The 16,358-nt window shown below is 44.1% G+C and overlaps 2 annotated features.

Annotated features, from left to right (window-relative positions):
• Positions 218–437: an enhancer, noted in NCBI's record as "active region_28650". NCBI's record gives its function as "activates an Ori minimal core promoter by ATAC-STARR-seq in GM12878 lymphoblastoid cells {active_cell/tissue: GM12878}" and the evidence as "EXISTENCE:reporter gene assay evidence [ECO:0000049][PMID:35858748]".
• Positions 448–657: a silencer, noted in NCBI's record as "silent region_20076". NCBI's record gives its function as "represses an Ori minimal core promoter by ATAC-STARR-seq in GM12878 lymphoblastoid cells {active_cell/tissue: GM12878}" and the evidence as "EXISTENCE:reporter gene assay evidence [ECO:0000049][PMID:35858748]".

Consider the following 16,358-nt stretch of genomic DNA (forward strand, 5'->3'; position numbering starts at 1 on the left):
CACTATCACTGCTACTAAAACAAGATAAGCTACAAAAACAACTAATGCAACTACTGGCTTACACCCAAGTCTCACCAAGTTCCCCATAATAACCAAATTCCCCGTAAGAACGGCCACAAGGGTGACCACACTGACTAGTTGTCCTAGCCTGGTTGACCACACTGACTAGTTGTCCCAGCGAAGTGTTGCTGGAAACATTGTCAAGGTAAGGTTTGTGCCTGGTCCCTCTTGAGGCCAGGGCTGGAGGTGGGCCCCTCCGTGCGAGCTGGCCGACTGGCAGACCTGGTTGCATCTGGGCAAAAAAAGGCCATCATCGCCATAGATGCTGGAAGCTGCTCTCTCGCCCACTTTAACTGTGGGGGCCTCGGCCCCCCGTTTTTTAACTACTGGAAGACGTAGCCCTGAGTCCAACCTCTTCCACGCCTGGCGACGCTGCTAAGAACGCGGAGCAGGGCTGGAGGGCTCAGCGCCGGCGGGCTCAGCGCCGGTGGGGGCAGGGCGCGGGTCCGGGAGCGGGCGCGGAGGCACGGAGCCACACTGCCCCCTGGCGGCCATCCCCTGCCCCGCCGGCACCGCCTCCGTGAGGCGGAAGGTTGAATGTCACCACTGCGTTGCTGAATTCCGGCTCAAGATTATTAGTGCGGGGGCATCGGGTCCATCCAGGGGAGGAGAACGTTCCTAATGCGGAGTCACAAGCCCTACCTTTAAGGTCTGGCTCTGGAACTCTGGGCAAGTTGCTTAAATTCTCTGTTCTCAGCTGCGAAAGGAGGAAAATAATTAAAGCCTGTGTTGTAAAGACCTCACTAGGCAATGTGTGCTCTACAGGCTTTCCCTGCCCCTGACGCAAAGACACACGCACAGAAAGCAAGATCATGAGGGATAGATTTTTTTTTTTTTTTTTGACAGAGTCTCGCTCTGTCGCCAGGCTGGAGTGCAGTGGCTCGATCTTGGCTCACTGCAACCTCCACCTCCTGGGTTCAAGCGGGTCTCCTGCCTCAGCCTCCCGAGTAGCTGGGACTACAGGCGCTCACCACCACGCCTGGCTAATTTTTGTATTTTTAATAGAGATGAGGTTTCACCATGTTGGCCGGGCTGGTCTCGATTTCTTGACCTCGTGATCCTCCCGCTTCGGCCTCCCAAAGTGGTTGGATAGGCTTCAGCCACCACGCCCGACCGAGGGTTAGATTTTAACCCAAACACTGTCCCTTCTAATGTTCTCCGCTGCCGCCCAGTGCAGCTCCCAACGCTGACCCGGGTTTCTGGGGTGGAAGCAGCAGAGGCGCCCCCACCCCCACTCCCGCGCTCCACCGAGCCGGAGGGCAGCCCAGGGGCAGCAGCCCCACAGTGGGGCCTGAACAGCGTCCGCGGACCCGACCCGCGCTGCGGCCGCGCTGCCCCGCTCCTCTGGGCGCCTCCCCGAGGGCCTCGCTCGTCTGACCCGCAGTACTCTCCGCCCTGCTCCTCGTGCCTTTGGTGGGCGCGTGGCTTCCGGCCTGCGGAGGCTGTGCCTCCTCGCCAAGGAGCCGTTCACAGCCGCGCGTTCGAAAACCCAGCCGCCGGCCGCGCGTCCTGGAGAAGGGGCACGGTCAACTCGCACGCCCTAAGGGCCGGGCCACCGGGGTCACTGCCCGGCCTGCGGGGGCCGTGCCTGGGGCGTAGGAGCAGCGCTCCTCCGCAGGCGCTATGCATGCCTGCGCCCTCCTGCAGGATGGGCCACGAGCCCAACTGCCAGGCGATCGGCCGAGACCCAGAAGGGTGAGAGGGGGAAGCCGCACCCTCTTCGTGGGTGCGATGCTGTGAACGTCTTCCTTCAAGGAAAGAGCTGCTTCTGGATTTTCCTTGAACTCCAGGAGGTGCTAAGAAAGCTTCGTGACTGTGGCAGATGCGGCTCAGCGGCCCCTCCCAACCCGCCCGCGCCAGTTGGGAAAGTGACTCCCCCGCTCCCCGCCAGTTGGGAAAGTGACTCCTTCCTGTGGGCAGAAGGCAGCGGACCTGGAGGGAGCCCTCGGGCTCTGAGAGTCACGCGGGGGGCGGCCTGCTCTCCCGCGCCCCCTAGCGGAGCATCGGCTCACACGCACCTGAGAGGTCGGAAGAGGCGGGCGCTTCTCTGCCTCCCCCACCCAGGCCCCTTGCAGTTTGTATGCCCTCACCCTGGATAAAAGATTTTGGTTCAACTAGAACTATCTTTTCTAGATCTCATTCCTTTATAACTTTTTTGCTCACAGGAAAAAAACAGGATTATAAAGCCTCTGGAATACGGTCACAGTCGCCAGACTGGGCCCTAGGAGGGCTGAGTTCCTCATTCATTGTTGGTAGAAATATAAAATGGTATGACCCCCTTCCTTTGGAAAATAGTTTGGAGTTTCATAAAATTTTAAACATACACCTGTCATCTGACCCAGCCATTCTACTCCTAGGTATTTACTCAAGAAAAACAAAAACATCTGTCTATACAAAGATTTGAACCTGACTGCTCATAATTGCTTTGTTTGTAATAGCACCCGAGTGGAAGCGACCCAAATGTCCACCAACAGCTGAATGAATAAATAATTTGTAGTACAGACACTCCAAGAAATATTACTCAGGAGTAAAAAGGAATGCACTGGCCGGGCATGATGAGATTACACGCCTGTAATTTCAGCACTTTGGGAGGCCGAGGTGGGCAGATCATCTGAGCCCAGGAGCTGGAGACCAGCCTGAGCAGCATGAAGAAATCCCATCTCTACAAAAAAAAAAAAAAGAAAAGCCAGGTGTGGTGACGCAGGCCTGTAATCCCAGCTACTCGGGAGGCTGAGGCAGGAGGATCACTTGAGCCCAGGAGGTCGAGGCTGGAGTGATGCAATCTCAGCTCACCCAGCCTGGGCAACAAGAGTGAGACCCTGTCTCAGGAGAAAAAAAAAAAGGGCTGGGCGCAGTGGCTCACGCCTGTAATCCCAGCACTTTGAGAGGCTGAGGCAGGCGGATCACCTGAGGCCAGGAGTTTGAGACCAGCCTGGCCAACATGGTGAAACCCCGTCTCTACTAAAAATACAAAAATACAAAAATCAGCTGGGTGTGGTAGCCCATGCCTGTAATCCCAGCTTCTAGGAGGGGCTGAGGCAGGAGAATTGCTGGAACCTGGGAGGCAGAGGTTGCAGTTAGCTGAGACTGCGCCACTGCACTCCAGGCTGGGCCACAGAGCAAGACTCCAAACCGCCCCCCTAACACACACACACACACACACACACACACACACACACACACAAAGAAAAAGAAAAAGAAAGGAATGTTGTGCACACAACAACATGGGTGACTCTTTTTTTTTTCTTTTTTTTTTGAGACGAAGTCTCGCTCTTGTCCCCCAGGCTGGAGTGCAATGGAGCGATCTCGGCTCACTGCAAACTCCGCCTCCCAGATTCAAGCGATTCTCCTGCCTTGGTCACCCCGAGTACCTGGGATTACAGGTGCCCGCCACCATGCCCGGCTAATTTTTGTATTTTTAGTAGAGACAGGGTTTCACCATGTTGGCCAGGCTGGTCTAGAACTCCTGACCTCAGGTGATCCACCCGCCTCAGCCTCCCAAAGTGCTGGGATTACAGGCGTGAATCACCGTGCCCGGCCAACAACATGGGTGATTCTCAAAACAATTACGTTCAGTGCAAGAAGCCAGACTAAGAAGAATGCCTACTGTGTGATTCCATCCTATAAGCTTCTAGGAAATGCAAATGAATCTATAGTGTCAGAGCAAATCAGTCATCACCAGAGTTTGGGATGGGGCAGGAAGGACATATTTCGAAAGGCACAAGGATGTTGGGGAGGGTGAGGGGTGATCAATATTGTAGTCATTGTGATTGATTGTGATAGTTTCAAAACATATCAAGTTAGGCAATTTTAATATGTATTTATTGTATGTAATATGTCAGTGTCACCTCAATAAAACCATTTTTACCCAAAAAACAACAAACATCAGGTCTCTGGGCTTAGCACCCCTTGGAGAAAGAGGCTACAGGTGGTCAGGAGTAGAGCCTGCAAATCTTTATTTTTCAACTTGTCCCAGTGATTCTAGAGCATAGTCTTGTTTGAAAATCAATGGTTTAAGCAGACCAAAGCAGAGAGGTGGGCAGCCAAAAGTCCACAAACAGCACTGTCCTCCACACCCAGGCATCCTCAAAAATGTTTAGGGACAATCAATTGCTCTACACCCCAACAATCAACACCAAGCAACGGAAACACCAGGGGACACTTGCGGAAAGTCAGACCATCAAAAATCCCATCTTCCCATACCCTCAGCCACCCCAGGAAACACACCATCTAAATAAAATGGCACATCTAGCCCCTCCCGCCAGAAGACTATCCCTAAAACATTCTTAAATAGAAATTCTAAGCCATAAATTTATTTCCCCTTTTTAGGAATCAACTCATGCCTTGGTCAGTGACTAACACACCTACTACTACTCATGACACATTGGTTAGTGCCCCTAATCTTCCTCATCTCCCTAATTTTGGGACCCCAGCCGAAATGGTTTAGTCTTGCTGGAAATGTTCCCACTGGCCACTAGGGGAAGTAGTGCCTGGATTATACACATCCCCTGAGCCTCCAATCCCCAGCTCCTGAAAACTGCCACACATGCAAATTTCTCTTTTTGGGGGTAGTCAGTAAGGCATCTTCAGATTCAAGACCCACGTTGTAATGATTCTGGACTTGGTTTTAACTCAGGGTAAAATTCCAGCAGTCTTTTAACTTATCTGAGCCTCAGTTTTCTCATCTGTAAACTTAGCACAATGAGCCCTTTGGGGCTAGCCTCCCTACAGCACCGACACCCTTAGTGTAGCATCTCCCTCTCCCTTGGCTATTCCTGCATCCACAGCCAGCAGCAAATGTGGACATATGGGATTGAGAGTAGGCAAGGAAGTCCCTGGAAGACAGCAACCATTGAACTGGGTCATGAGTGTAAATGGCAAGCCTGTTCTTCCCTAGTTCTGCCAGGAGGATGGAGTGTCAGCAGAAGTCTATGGAGGTTCCTCCCAATTGACCACACTGGGAAATTCTCCCAACAATGACTCTTCAAAGCCATCCTGGTAAATTCTTCCTCTTGAGTGGTTCCCAAACAGTTGCCTCATTTTCTCCAGAACTTTACAAGTTCAACGTCCATGGTTTGGATCATGGTTTGGGCTCAAATTCATGTTTGTCCCTATACATTTATATATTTTTTAAGGAATAAGAAAAGTTCGATTATGCATTGCTTATCCAAACAGGTTTGCAGCTTCAAGAGTTTTAAAACTAGTGCTTGGATTCAGGGCTAATTTTCCCTGGTAATTGAGGGCAGTTTTGTTGCTAAAAGGCTGAGTTGCTTCAAAGTTCCTTTTATTTCCCTTAATCCCAAAGCCTGTGTGAGACAGTCATTGATGAACATTGCAAACATCCTCATTCTCCTTAACTACATAATTCTCTACGCCTAACTAAAATAGAATAAACTAGAATGGAAAGAAAGAACCCTTCAACATAAAAAACTTCTAAGCCAATAGTCCATGTTTTAAGTCACTATCCAACAAGCAAGGACAAATTGGGTAAAAGAAAACAAAATCTCAAGTGTCAATAGCAGTGAAATAAATAGATTACATTAAGAATCACCTCTTTAAAAATATGCTGGCCCAGGCAGTTTAGAGGCATGTTAAATCTCCAATGAATTGAAAATATTTCTGCTATTTAAACTGTTCTGTAGGATAGAAACAAATAAAAAAAATTCTAAGTTTATTTTACTAATCTAGCACAATCCTGATGCCATGGCTGGTGGGAGGATAAATTAGTAGATGTGTTCTGGAGCAGCCAGTGAGTTACAAGGAAATTAGAGTGTGATGTCAGGAAGTAACATGAAGAAAGTGTTCCAAGAGTCAGTGACAACTAAAATAAGAACCAAGAAGTGACCATTGGATTGGCAACATAAGGGTCATTGCTGACCTTGACAAGCATATTCTCCATGGAGAGGTGAGAACAAAGGCTAATTAGAGTGGGTTGAGGATATAATGTGAAGTGAGGAAGTAGAGAATGTGACAAAGAAAAACTCAAGAAGTTTCATGAAGGGAAACAGAGAGGAGCAGCAGCTGCAAGATGATGTGGAAATAAGGAAGGAATATTTGTTTAATAGTATATGCTAGAGCTTGTTTGGATGCTCATGCAAATGATCCAGGAGTTGGAGAGAAACTGATAGTGAGGAAAGGAGAGGAGATAGTTACAGGTGATATGGGATAGAAACCAGAGGACCATAGGCCTTGGATGAGATCATTCATCCTTAGTAAAAAGGGGAAAACAGAGAGTGTGGGCACTTGGAGGGTAATTACGATGTGCATAAAGATTTTTCCATATGGACATTTATTGAAACATTGCTTATAATAGCAAAAAATAGGAAACAACCTAAATGCCCGAAAGAACATGGACTGAATATTTCAGAGTACTAAGCAGTCATTAAAAGTGATGTTATGTACCTATAACTACCATTAAACTTAATGATAAAGGCTAAATGCTTTCCCCTAAGATTGGGAACTAGGCAAGAATTTCTGTTTTCACCATTCCTATTCAACATAGGACTGGAAGTCCTAGCCAGTGCAATAAGGCAAGAAAAAAAAAAGGCATACAGATTGGAAAGGGGTGGGGCGGGGCTTGTCCTTATTTTCAGACGACTTGACTGTCTATGTAAAAAATTCCAAGAAATCTACCAAAAAAACCTCTTAGAACTAATAAATGGATTTAGCAAAGCCACACGATACAAGGTCAGAATGCAAAAATCAATATATTTCCATAAACTATCAGTGGACAATGGGAAACTGAAATTTAAAACACAATACTGTTTATCATTGCTAGGAAAAGAAAGGAAAGAAGGACAGAAGATAGAGTTAAGTATATATCTAACAAAACATGTACAGCATCTGTATGCTAAAAACTACAAAACCTGAAAGAAATCAATTAAGATGTAAATAAATGGAGAGGCATGCCATGTTCATGGATTGCTAAGACTCAATATAGTAAAGATGTCAATATAGTAAAGGTGTCAATTCTCAAATTGATTTACAGGTTTAATATAATTCTTATTAAAATCCTAGTGGGTTTTTTACAAATATGGACAAACTAAATCTAAAATTTAGATGGAAAAGCAAAGTAACCAAATCATTAAAACAGTTTTAAAAAAGAATAAAGTTGGAGGAATTGTATTACCTGATTTTAAGACTTACTGTAACTACAGTAATTAAGATAATGTGGTACTGACAAAGTTATAGAGACATAAACCAATGACAAAATAGAGAGTTCTGAAATAGACCCACACAAAGATGGCCAACTGATTTTTGACAAAGATGCAATGACAACTCAATTGGAAAGGGATAGTCATTTCAACAAATGGTGTTTGAATTCTTGGACATGAACTTCAACCTAATCTTCACATATTATTCAAAAAGTAACTAAAAATGGATCATAGATCTGTGTGTAAAATATAAAACTATAAAGTACTTAGAGAAGGCCATGTCTTTAATCCCACTACTTTAGGAGGCTGAGGCAGGAGGATTGCTTGAGACCAGGAGTTTGAAACCAGCCTGGGCAATATAGCTTAGACCCTGTCTCTACAAAAGAAAAAAATAATAATTAAGGAGACATGGTTGCACATGCCTGTAGTCCCAGCTACTTGGGAGGCTGAGGTAGAAGGATTGCCTGAGCCCTGGAGTTCAAGTCTGTAGTGACCTATGATCATGCCACTGCACTCCAGCCAGGATGACAGAGTGAGGCCCTGTCTCTAAAAACAAACAACAACAACAACAAAAAAAAAGAGAGAAGACTTTTAAAGGAAAACGTAGGAGAAATTACTTGTGACCTAGGGTTAGGCACAGAATTTGTAGATATGACACCAAACATATAATCTATAAAAGAAAATATTGATCAATTGGATTTCATCAAATTAAAAATATTTGCTCTCAAGACCCTGATAAGAGCATGAAAGAAAAAGCCACAGATGGGAAAAAAATTTTCAATATCGTATCTGACAAAGGACTTGCATCATCCAGAATACATAGAGAACTCTCTAAACTCTATACAAACAAAATTAAAAATTCAATTTAAAAATGGTCAAAAGACTTGAACAGACAATTCATCAAAGAATATACATGGATGGCAAAAAAGAATGCTCATGAAGATATTCATTATCATCTATTTGTAACCAATAAAAGTAACTCTGCACTAAGTCAAAAAAGACAACACTGCAGTTTCTACAAATTTACTAGGATGTTCACTGTTGAAGCCCTGAGTTGTCACGTAAGAAGATAGCTATGCTGCAAGGAAGCCCAAGCCACATGGAGAGGCTTCAGTTGAGAGCCTCAGCTGAGGCCCCAGCCAATAGTTCACATCAATTGCCAGATGTGTGAATAAAGAGACATCCAGATGACTCTAGTCCCCAGCCATTGTCACTCCCATTCACCTAGCCTTCCCAATTGAGGTTCCACATCTTGAAGCAGATACAAGTCTTTTCCACCATTCTCTATCCAAATTAACAACCTGCCGAATTCATTAGCCTAATAAAATGATGCTTTAAGCTACAAAATTTGGGAACAATTTATTATCCAGTAATAGTAACCAGAACAAACTGGTACTCTTTGTTCCTATTGCAAAACATATTGACTGCAAATCAGCGAACATGCTTACTAACATCTACTAACAAGTATGAAGCCACTCTCTGTCATGCTCGCTTTCATATCTTCCTTCCAGGTGAATTGTGCTTATGAAGAGACATGTGTTGTTTCCAAATCTGTCAATGTAAGCTGTATTTATTATGATAATTACACAGTTGAATTAAAAATATATAAGCCAGTAAAGCCTTGGCATGAAAAGAGAGTTACTGGCCAGGCGCAGTGGCGCACGCCTGTAATTCCAGCACTTTGAGAGGCCGAGGCGGGCAGATCACGAGGTCAGGAGTTTGAGACCAGCCTGGCCAATATGGTGAAACTCCATCTCTACTAAAAATACAAAAATCAGCCAGGCGTGGTGGTGCACGCCTGTAGTCCCAGCTACTTGGGAGGCTGAGGCAGAAGAATCGCTTGAACCCGGGAGGCAGAGGTTGCAGTGAGCCGAGATCATGCCACTGCACTCCAGCTTGGGCAACAGAGCGAGACTCCGTCTCAAAAAAAAAAAAAAAAGAAAAGAAAAGAAAAGAGAGTTACTATTATTATGAAAACTCAAGGACAAATCAATAAAAGTTATTATTGTAGATGCAGGTGTCAACATAATATCTATAAAAGATTGTTGGGGTGATTTTGAAAATCCAAAAGAATCCTGATTCTGCATTCAGATGTCTTTCAAGTGTCATTAAGTTCTCATTCCACTTTAAGGAAATCAAAACTACATATTATAGTTGGTGCATTAGATGAGTGTGGTTTACGTAAGAAAGACAAGCTGCAATTCCAATCAGTGGCCCCACATTTAAAGGAAAGGACTTGGCCCTACATCTAAAGATTGGCAAAGGAATATACTTTTATATGTTTTAAGTTAAAATAAAATGTTTAATGTACCAACCCTTTGACCCAGCAAATCCACTGGTGGGTATAAACCTAAGAGAAATGAAAACATATGTCCACAAAAATACTTAAGCAGAAACGTTCATAGCAGCATTATGCATAAAAACCCAAGCTGTAAAACCAAATGTCTTTCAAGAGGAGAATAGATCAACAAATTGTGATATATTCCTACTGAAATAATACTCAACCATAAAAAGGAGTAAATGCAACAACATGGGTAAATTTCACGGACATGACACCGAGTAAAAGAAGCCAGACCCAAAAGAGTCCATCCTGTATGAATTCATTTATATAAAAGTCCATTACAGGCAAAACTAGTCTACAGTGGGAGAACTCTAGAAATTTCCATGGTGATCAAATCACACTTCTGTGTCTATTTGTCAAAATTGTACGCTAAGATTTGCATATTTGAATGTACATAAACTTTACCTAAAAAATAGAATTTAAAAGCTCCAGTGGGGGATGGGGAGAAGATGGAGTTAGAAATGAAACAAGAATGGCAGAATGATGATAATTGCTGAAGCTGGGTGATGAGTACATGGGACGCATTATACTACGCTGATTATTTTGTATACGTTTGGAATTTTCCACAGTAATTTTTTAAGGTAAAATGTTTAAGGAATGTGTTATTGCCTATGATTCTCAGTTTTAACCAACTTTTTTGATGAACTGATAAACTCCCTGCCCCAGTGAGGGCCTCTGCTGCACAGATTCCCCTGTGCTCTCTCCTGAGCTTTGGCAAAGGGTTGGCACCAGTGAGCTTTTCAAACCACAGCCAGGACTCTATGCCACGTATTCTAACACTTAAATAATATCTGCCATGTTGTGCAACTGATGTCTTGGTAGCTCCTTAAACTATTAAGTGAAAGGTGAGGTGACAGAGCAGGAGAACAAACAAATATGAACTTTGTTTTCAGACAGAGCTGGGGTCAAGACTCAGGTCTAGCATTTTTAATCTATGTAACCGAAGGCAATTTAATGTCCCTGAGCTTCTACGTCCTTCCGTCTGAGGGCCAGGAAAAAGTTGTGCGGAGGCTGCTCTTGTTTCCCCCTTTATCTGTTACCCCCTTTTCCCAGTAATAGAAGTCTTGAGATGTGTGTACAGTCTTACAGAATATCAGCCTCCCTTGCAGCTAGGTGTGGGTGTATGACTAAACTCTCCCTGTGAGAAATAAGAGTACATCATGTGACAGCTTCTAGGAATCTTCTTTAAAATAAAACAGGCATACCCTCTTTGCTTCTCTTTCATCATCCCTTTTTTCCATCTTGTTGTCTTGAATCATCATCAAGACAATATCTTATTGTCTTGAATGTGGATGTGCTGACTGGAGATGTAGCCACCACTATCTTGGACACCATAGGAACAGAGAAGTGGCAAGTAGGCAGGGGCCCTAAAACCTTCCTGGAACAGAGCTGCCATTCCTGCCCTGGACTCCCTACCTATGGATTTTTATGTAAAAAAGAAATAAACATCCTCATTTCATAAACCACTGCTGAAGTTTCCACTACACAACTATAAGTCCGCAACTGCACTCAAATCTAACCAATGAAATACCTACTTCATGGTGTGCAGTGATGAGTGGACGTGCACATGTGTCTAACATATATTAGCTATTGAAGATAGTAATAACTCATCACTATCATTACAGCCCTCGAGTTACTGTCTTGTTGATTTTCTGCACCCTGCTCTGTTTCTAGCGATAAATAACCCACAGTGGGCTTTAACAAATACTTGTGGGAGTGAGTTGAATATCTCACACTCCAGCTTTTAGTGATAGAAGACATACTGGTCCAAAGGAGAATAATTCAATAGTATAATGGTAATCATTGGCCAGGTAGGATTTAACATAATTCTAAAAGAAAGAATGGTTGGATGAAAACAATGGAATATTGAGATGGGTACCCCCATTAACTGCAGGTCAAGTTTCTCAACATTGGCAATACTGACATTTGGGTCCAGATAATTCTGTGTTGGTTGGGGGTAGGGGCAGTGCTGTGCCCTGTCGGATGTTCCGAAGCATCGCTGGCCTCTATCAATGAGAGATGCCAGCAGCATTCTCCTTCCCTGAGTTGTGACAACCAAAAACGTTGCCAGACATTTTTGCGAAAAATGCAAAATGTCTTCTAGGGGACAAAATCGTTCCCCAGTTGAGAACCACTGCTAAGATGGAGGTGTATATTTATACAACTTTTCTAGAAATCACTTGGTAATAAATATAAAGAGCCTTAAAAATATTTAGACTTTTTGGCCGGGCGTGCTGGCTGACCCCTGTAATCCCAGCATTTTGGGAAGCCACAGCAGGTGGAACACCTGAGGTCAGGAGTTCAAGACCAGCCTGGCCAACATGGTGAAACCCCATCTCTACTAAAAATACAAAAATTAGCCAGTCATGGTGGCAGGCACCTGTAATCCCAGCTTCTCGAGAGGCTGAGGCAGAAAAATTGCTTGAACCCAGGAGGTTGCAGTGAGCCGAAATTGTGCCGTTGCAGTGAGCCGAAATTGTGCCATTGCACTCTACGTCAGGCAACAACAGTGAGATTCTGCCTCAAAAAAAAAAAAAAAATTAAACTTTTTATCCAGGAATCCTACTCTGGGGAAATAATTGGTAATGCACACACAGCAACAATTAAAAGACAAACAACCTCATTTTAAAAATGAATCAAGCATCTGAGTATACATTTCTCCAAAGAATATATACAAATGGCCAATAAACCCATGAAAGATGCTCAAATCATTAGCTGTCAGGGAAATGAAAATGAAAACCATAATGAGATACCACTTCATATACCCACTAGTATAGTTATCACCAAAAAGACAGAAAAAGAACAAGTACTGGTGAGGATATAGAGAACCTGGAACCCTCACCCTCTGCTGGTGATAATGTAAAATGGTTCAGCCACTTTGGAAAAGTGAAGCATTTCCTCAAAAGGTTAAACACAGAGTGACCACATGACCCAGCGATTCTACTCCTAGGTAAATAACCGAGAGAAATGAAAACATATATCTGCACAAAAACTTGTACCAAATGTTTATAGCAGCATTCTTTACAATAGCCAAAAAGTGGAAACCATCTAAATGTCCATCAACTGATGAACTAAGAAATAAAATGTGGTCTATTCATACAATAGAATATTATTCAGCAATAAAAAAGGACTGAAGTACTAATACATGCTACAACATGGATGAACCTTGAAAACATGGTGTTAAGTGGAAAAAGCCAAAAACAGAAATCCACATGTTATATTCGTTACATTAAAAGTCCAGAATACGGCCAGGCCTGGTGGTTCATGCCTGTAATCCCAGCACCTAGGGAGGCTGAGGCAGGCAGATCACCTGAGGTCAGGGGCTCAAGAACAGCCTGGCCAACATGGTGAAATCCTGTCTCTACCAAAAATACAAAAAAATTGGCCGGGCATGGTGGCGCACTCCTGTAATCCCAGCTACTTGGGAGGCTGAGGCAGGAGAATCATTCGAACCCAGGAGGTGGAGGTTGCAGTGAACTGAGATTGCACCATTGCACTCCAGCCTGGGCGACAGAGTGAGACTCCATCTCAATAAATAAATAAATAAATAAATAAAATAAAAGTCCAGAATAAGCAAGTCAATGGAGACAGAAAATACATCAATGGTTACCTAAGGGTGGGGGGTTCGGGTATGGAACGTGGAGTGACTGCTAATGGCTATTGTGTTTCCATGTGGGTGATGAAAATATTCTAAAATTGTTCTAAAGTTGATTGTGATTATGGTTACACAACTCTGTGACTATACTAAAAACAACTGAATTGTATACTTTAAATGGGTGAATCATATAGTATGTGAATTAAAGTATAAAAAGAAGTTGAAACATCACAACAAGAAAATGCACATACAAGGATGGATGTTGTTATAAGGTTTTGTGGGGTTGTTTGTTTGTTTGTTCGTTTTTTGAGACAGGGTCTCACTCTGTTGCTCAGACTGGAGTGACGTGATCTCAGCTCATGCAGCCTCCATTTCCTGGGCTCAAGAGAGATCCTCTAGCCTGAGCCTCCCAGGTAGCTGGGACCACAGGTGTGCACCACCACACCTGGCTAATTTTTTAATTTGTTGTAGAGAAGGGGTCTCACTATGTCTCAGGCTGGTCTCAAATGCCTGGGCTCAAGCAATTATCCTGCCTTGGCCTCCCAAAGTGATGGGATTACAGGTGTGAGCCACTGTGCCCAGCCTATAAGATTTTTAAAATCAGAAAACACCTAGATGCACATAAAAAAGGGATGGTAAAATAAATTATGTTCAGTACTATGAACAAATATTAAGCAAACATTATAAATCATCTTTGGAATAGCTACTATCACGAGGAAATATGCTTTAATCTTAAGAGGAAAGGCAGATATAAAATCTACCCTTAGATTCACAAGCACACACACAAAACACACACATGAAAATTATAAAAGGAAATTCACAATCAGTGAAGAGTGGTTCATTCTGGATGGTGGGATAATGCTGGGATTTTTATTTTCTGATCTTTTTCTGTAGTTTTTCTATTTTCTACACTGTATATCTAATTAGGAAAATGGTTTTTTTTTTGTTTTTTTTGTTTGTTTGTTTGTTTTGTTTTTTTTTTGAGACGGAGTCTCGCTCTGTCGCCCAGGCTGGAGTGCAGTGGCGGGATCTCGGCTCACTGCAAGCTCCGCCTCCCGGGTTCACGCCATTCTCCTGCCTCAGCCTCCCAAGTAGCTGGGACTACAGGCGCCCGCCACTACGCCCGGCTAATGTTTTGTATTTTTAGTAGAGACGGGGTTTCACCGTTTTAGCCGGGATGGTCTCGATCTCCTGACCTCGTGATCCACCCGCCTCGGCCTCCCAAAGTGCTGGGATTATAGGCGTGAGCCACCGCGCCCGGCCGGAAAATGGTTTTTTAAAGATTTTTAAAAGACAGTTTATTTCCACAACTTACTGGAGATTTATAGACTATAAGAGCTGAATAAAAAAGGATAAATCATGTATAAAACCTTCTAATGTTACTGATGAGGTAACCAGAGCCCAAAGAGGCTAAGGGGCTTGGCGCTTCCTCAGTCACCTTGCCAGAGCCTGTGAAACTGAAACAGGTTCTTTCCTCCTCTCGCCTCCTTTTCTTTCTTTCTTAGAGACCCTGCCCCTTACACACACACATGCGCGCGCGCACACACACAAAGCAACTCAAAAAAATTGAGAGATTTATTTCCCCAAATTAGCCTCTGTTCTAACATTTCTACCAGATTAGGTAGGAAAGACCCAACAGCTTCTCTCCCAGAACATTAGAGGGCAGTAGCGAGTCAGGCCCGCCGCACTATAGGATGAACTATAGTGAGGACAATCATCTCTTTTGGCATGAGAAGCACAAGAAACTGATTAAAATTGGCCCTAGACTCTTCAGCTTTCTCTGGTAAGCCCTGGCTTACAGAGTCTTTGAAGTGGGGTGCTCTGGTTCCCATCCACAAGAGCAAGAAAGGGATGACACCCCAGGGAGCCGCCCCAGCAACAGCTGCCAATACTTCTTGGAGCAGCAGCCCATAATCACCTCATTTTCCTGCTCCCAGTGCCATCCGAAAGGGACTCTGCGGCCTTCGGCTTCCTGGGAGGTAGCACAGATGGAAGGCTGCAAGGACGCAGAGGGAACACGTCTATCAAAACGGCCGGCTTCTGATGCTGGGCCCTGGGGTCCCAAGCCCTCCAAAGATAAGAGAATCAGGCGAGAAACAAGAGCCCAGCACTTTTCCGCAGAAACAAAAGGTCAGTGAAACTTGGCAGGCCTCCCTGTTCCTGAATGATTCCCAGAGGATAGTAAATTTGGAAAGTGGTCAGTGTTGAAATCCAGACATATGGGCCTGGCTGCTGAAGCCTGGCTCCCTCCTGTTGCCTCCACAACATGTGAGAGTGAAATATACAGATTTGAGGGCACGGCATTCACCCCTTGCCATTAATTTCGATTAAATAAACTTAGCCCAGACGTAGGGCTCTACTGTTCTGCTTTAGCCAAGGTGTGCGGGAAACGCCAGCTCTGCCACTCACTGGTCAAGTGAACCCACACACATGAGTTAAGTTTTCTCTGCCTCAGTTTCCTCATCTGTAAAATGAAGGCAATACTAATAGTACCTACTTCTTCAGTTGTTATGAGGCTTTACATAGTCCCTGACTACAATTAGTGTTCAATGAATGATAGCTATTATCTACTACTAATGATGATGAGGATAAAGATCTTAAAATATGGAGTTTTTCTGCCCTCATTTCGTAAGAAGTCAGTTCAACGTCTTGGGGCCTTTACTGTTAGGAAATTCTCTCTTACTTTAAGAACCCTCAAGAAGCTTGTTGGACAACCGTGCAAATCAACCTAGGATTATTACACTAGAAAACCCGTATCACACATCTAAAACTTACCTCTAAATATCTGCCCCAGGCCATTTAAGCTGAAGTGTGTCTCTGTTCTTACCTAAGGTGCTGGTTGTAGAAGTTGTTCCTGAAAGGCCAATTCACCAGGGTTTGATTGGAAGGTTCTAGAAACACAGTGTCTACACTTTTATAAGTCGCTCTAGTGCCAGTGGAAAGGCCAAGTAATTCATCCTACTTACACTAAACTTAGGACAAACACTTACACTAAGATGGATGAATGGAGAACACATTTTCTAGAGATGAGCATGACAATATCCACCATTCCATCGGATGCTCTTCCCATGGCAGGTTTTGCATCTTCTCCCATTGAATCTGGGAGGGCTTGGGCACAATACCACGTGACTTCCAGGGGTAAGTCATACAGGACAGTACAGCTTCCTCCCAATTTTCTTTGGGATGCTCATTCTTGGAAGGCAGCCAC

Source organism: Homo sapiens, chromosome 9, assembly GCF_000001405.40.
Source record: "Homo sapiens chromosome 9, GRCh38.p14 Primary Assembly".
Classification (NCBI taxonomy): domain Eukaryota; kingdom Metazoa; phylum Chordata; class Mammalia; order Primates; family Hominidae; genus Homo; species Homo sapiens.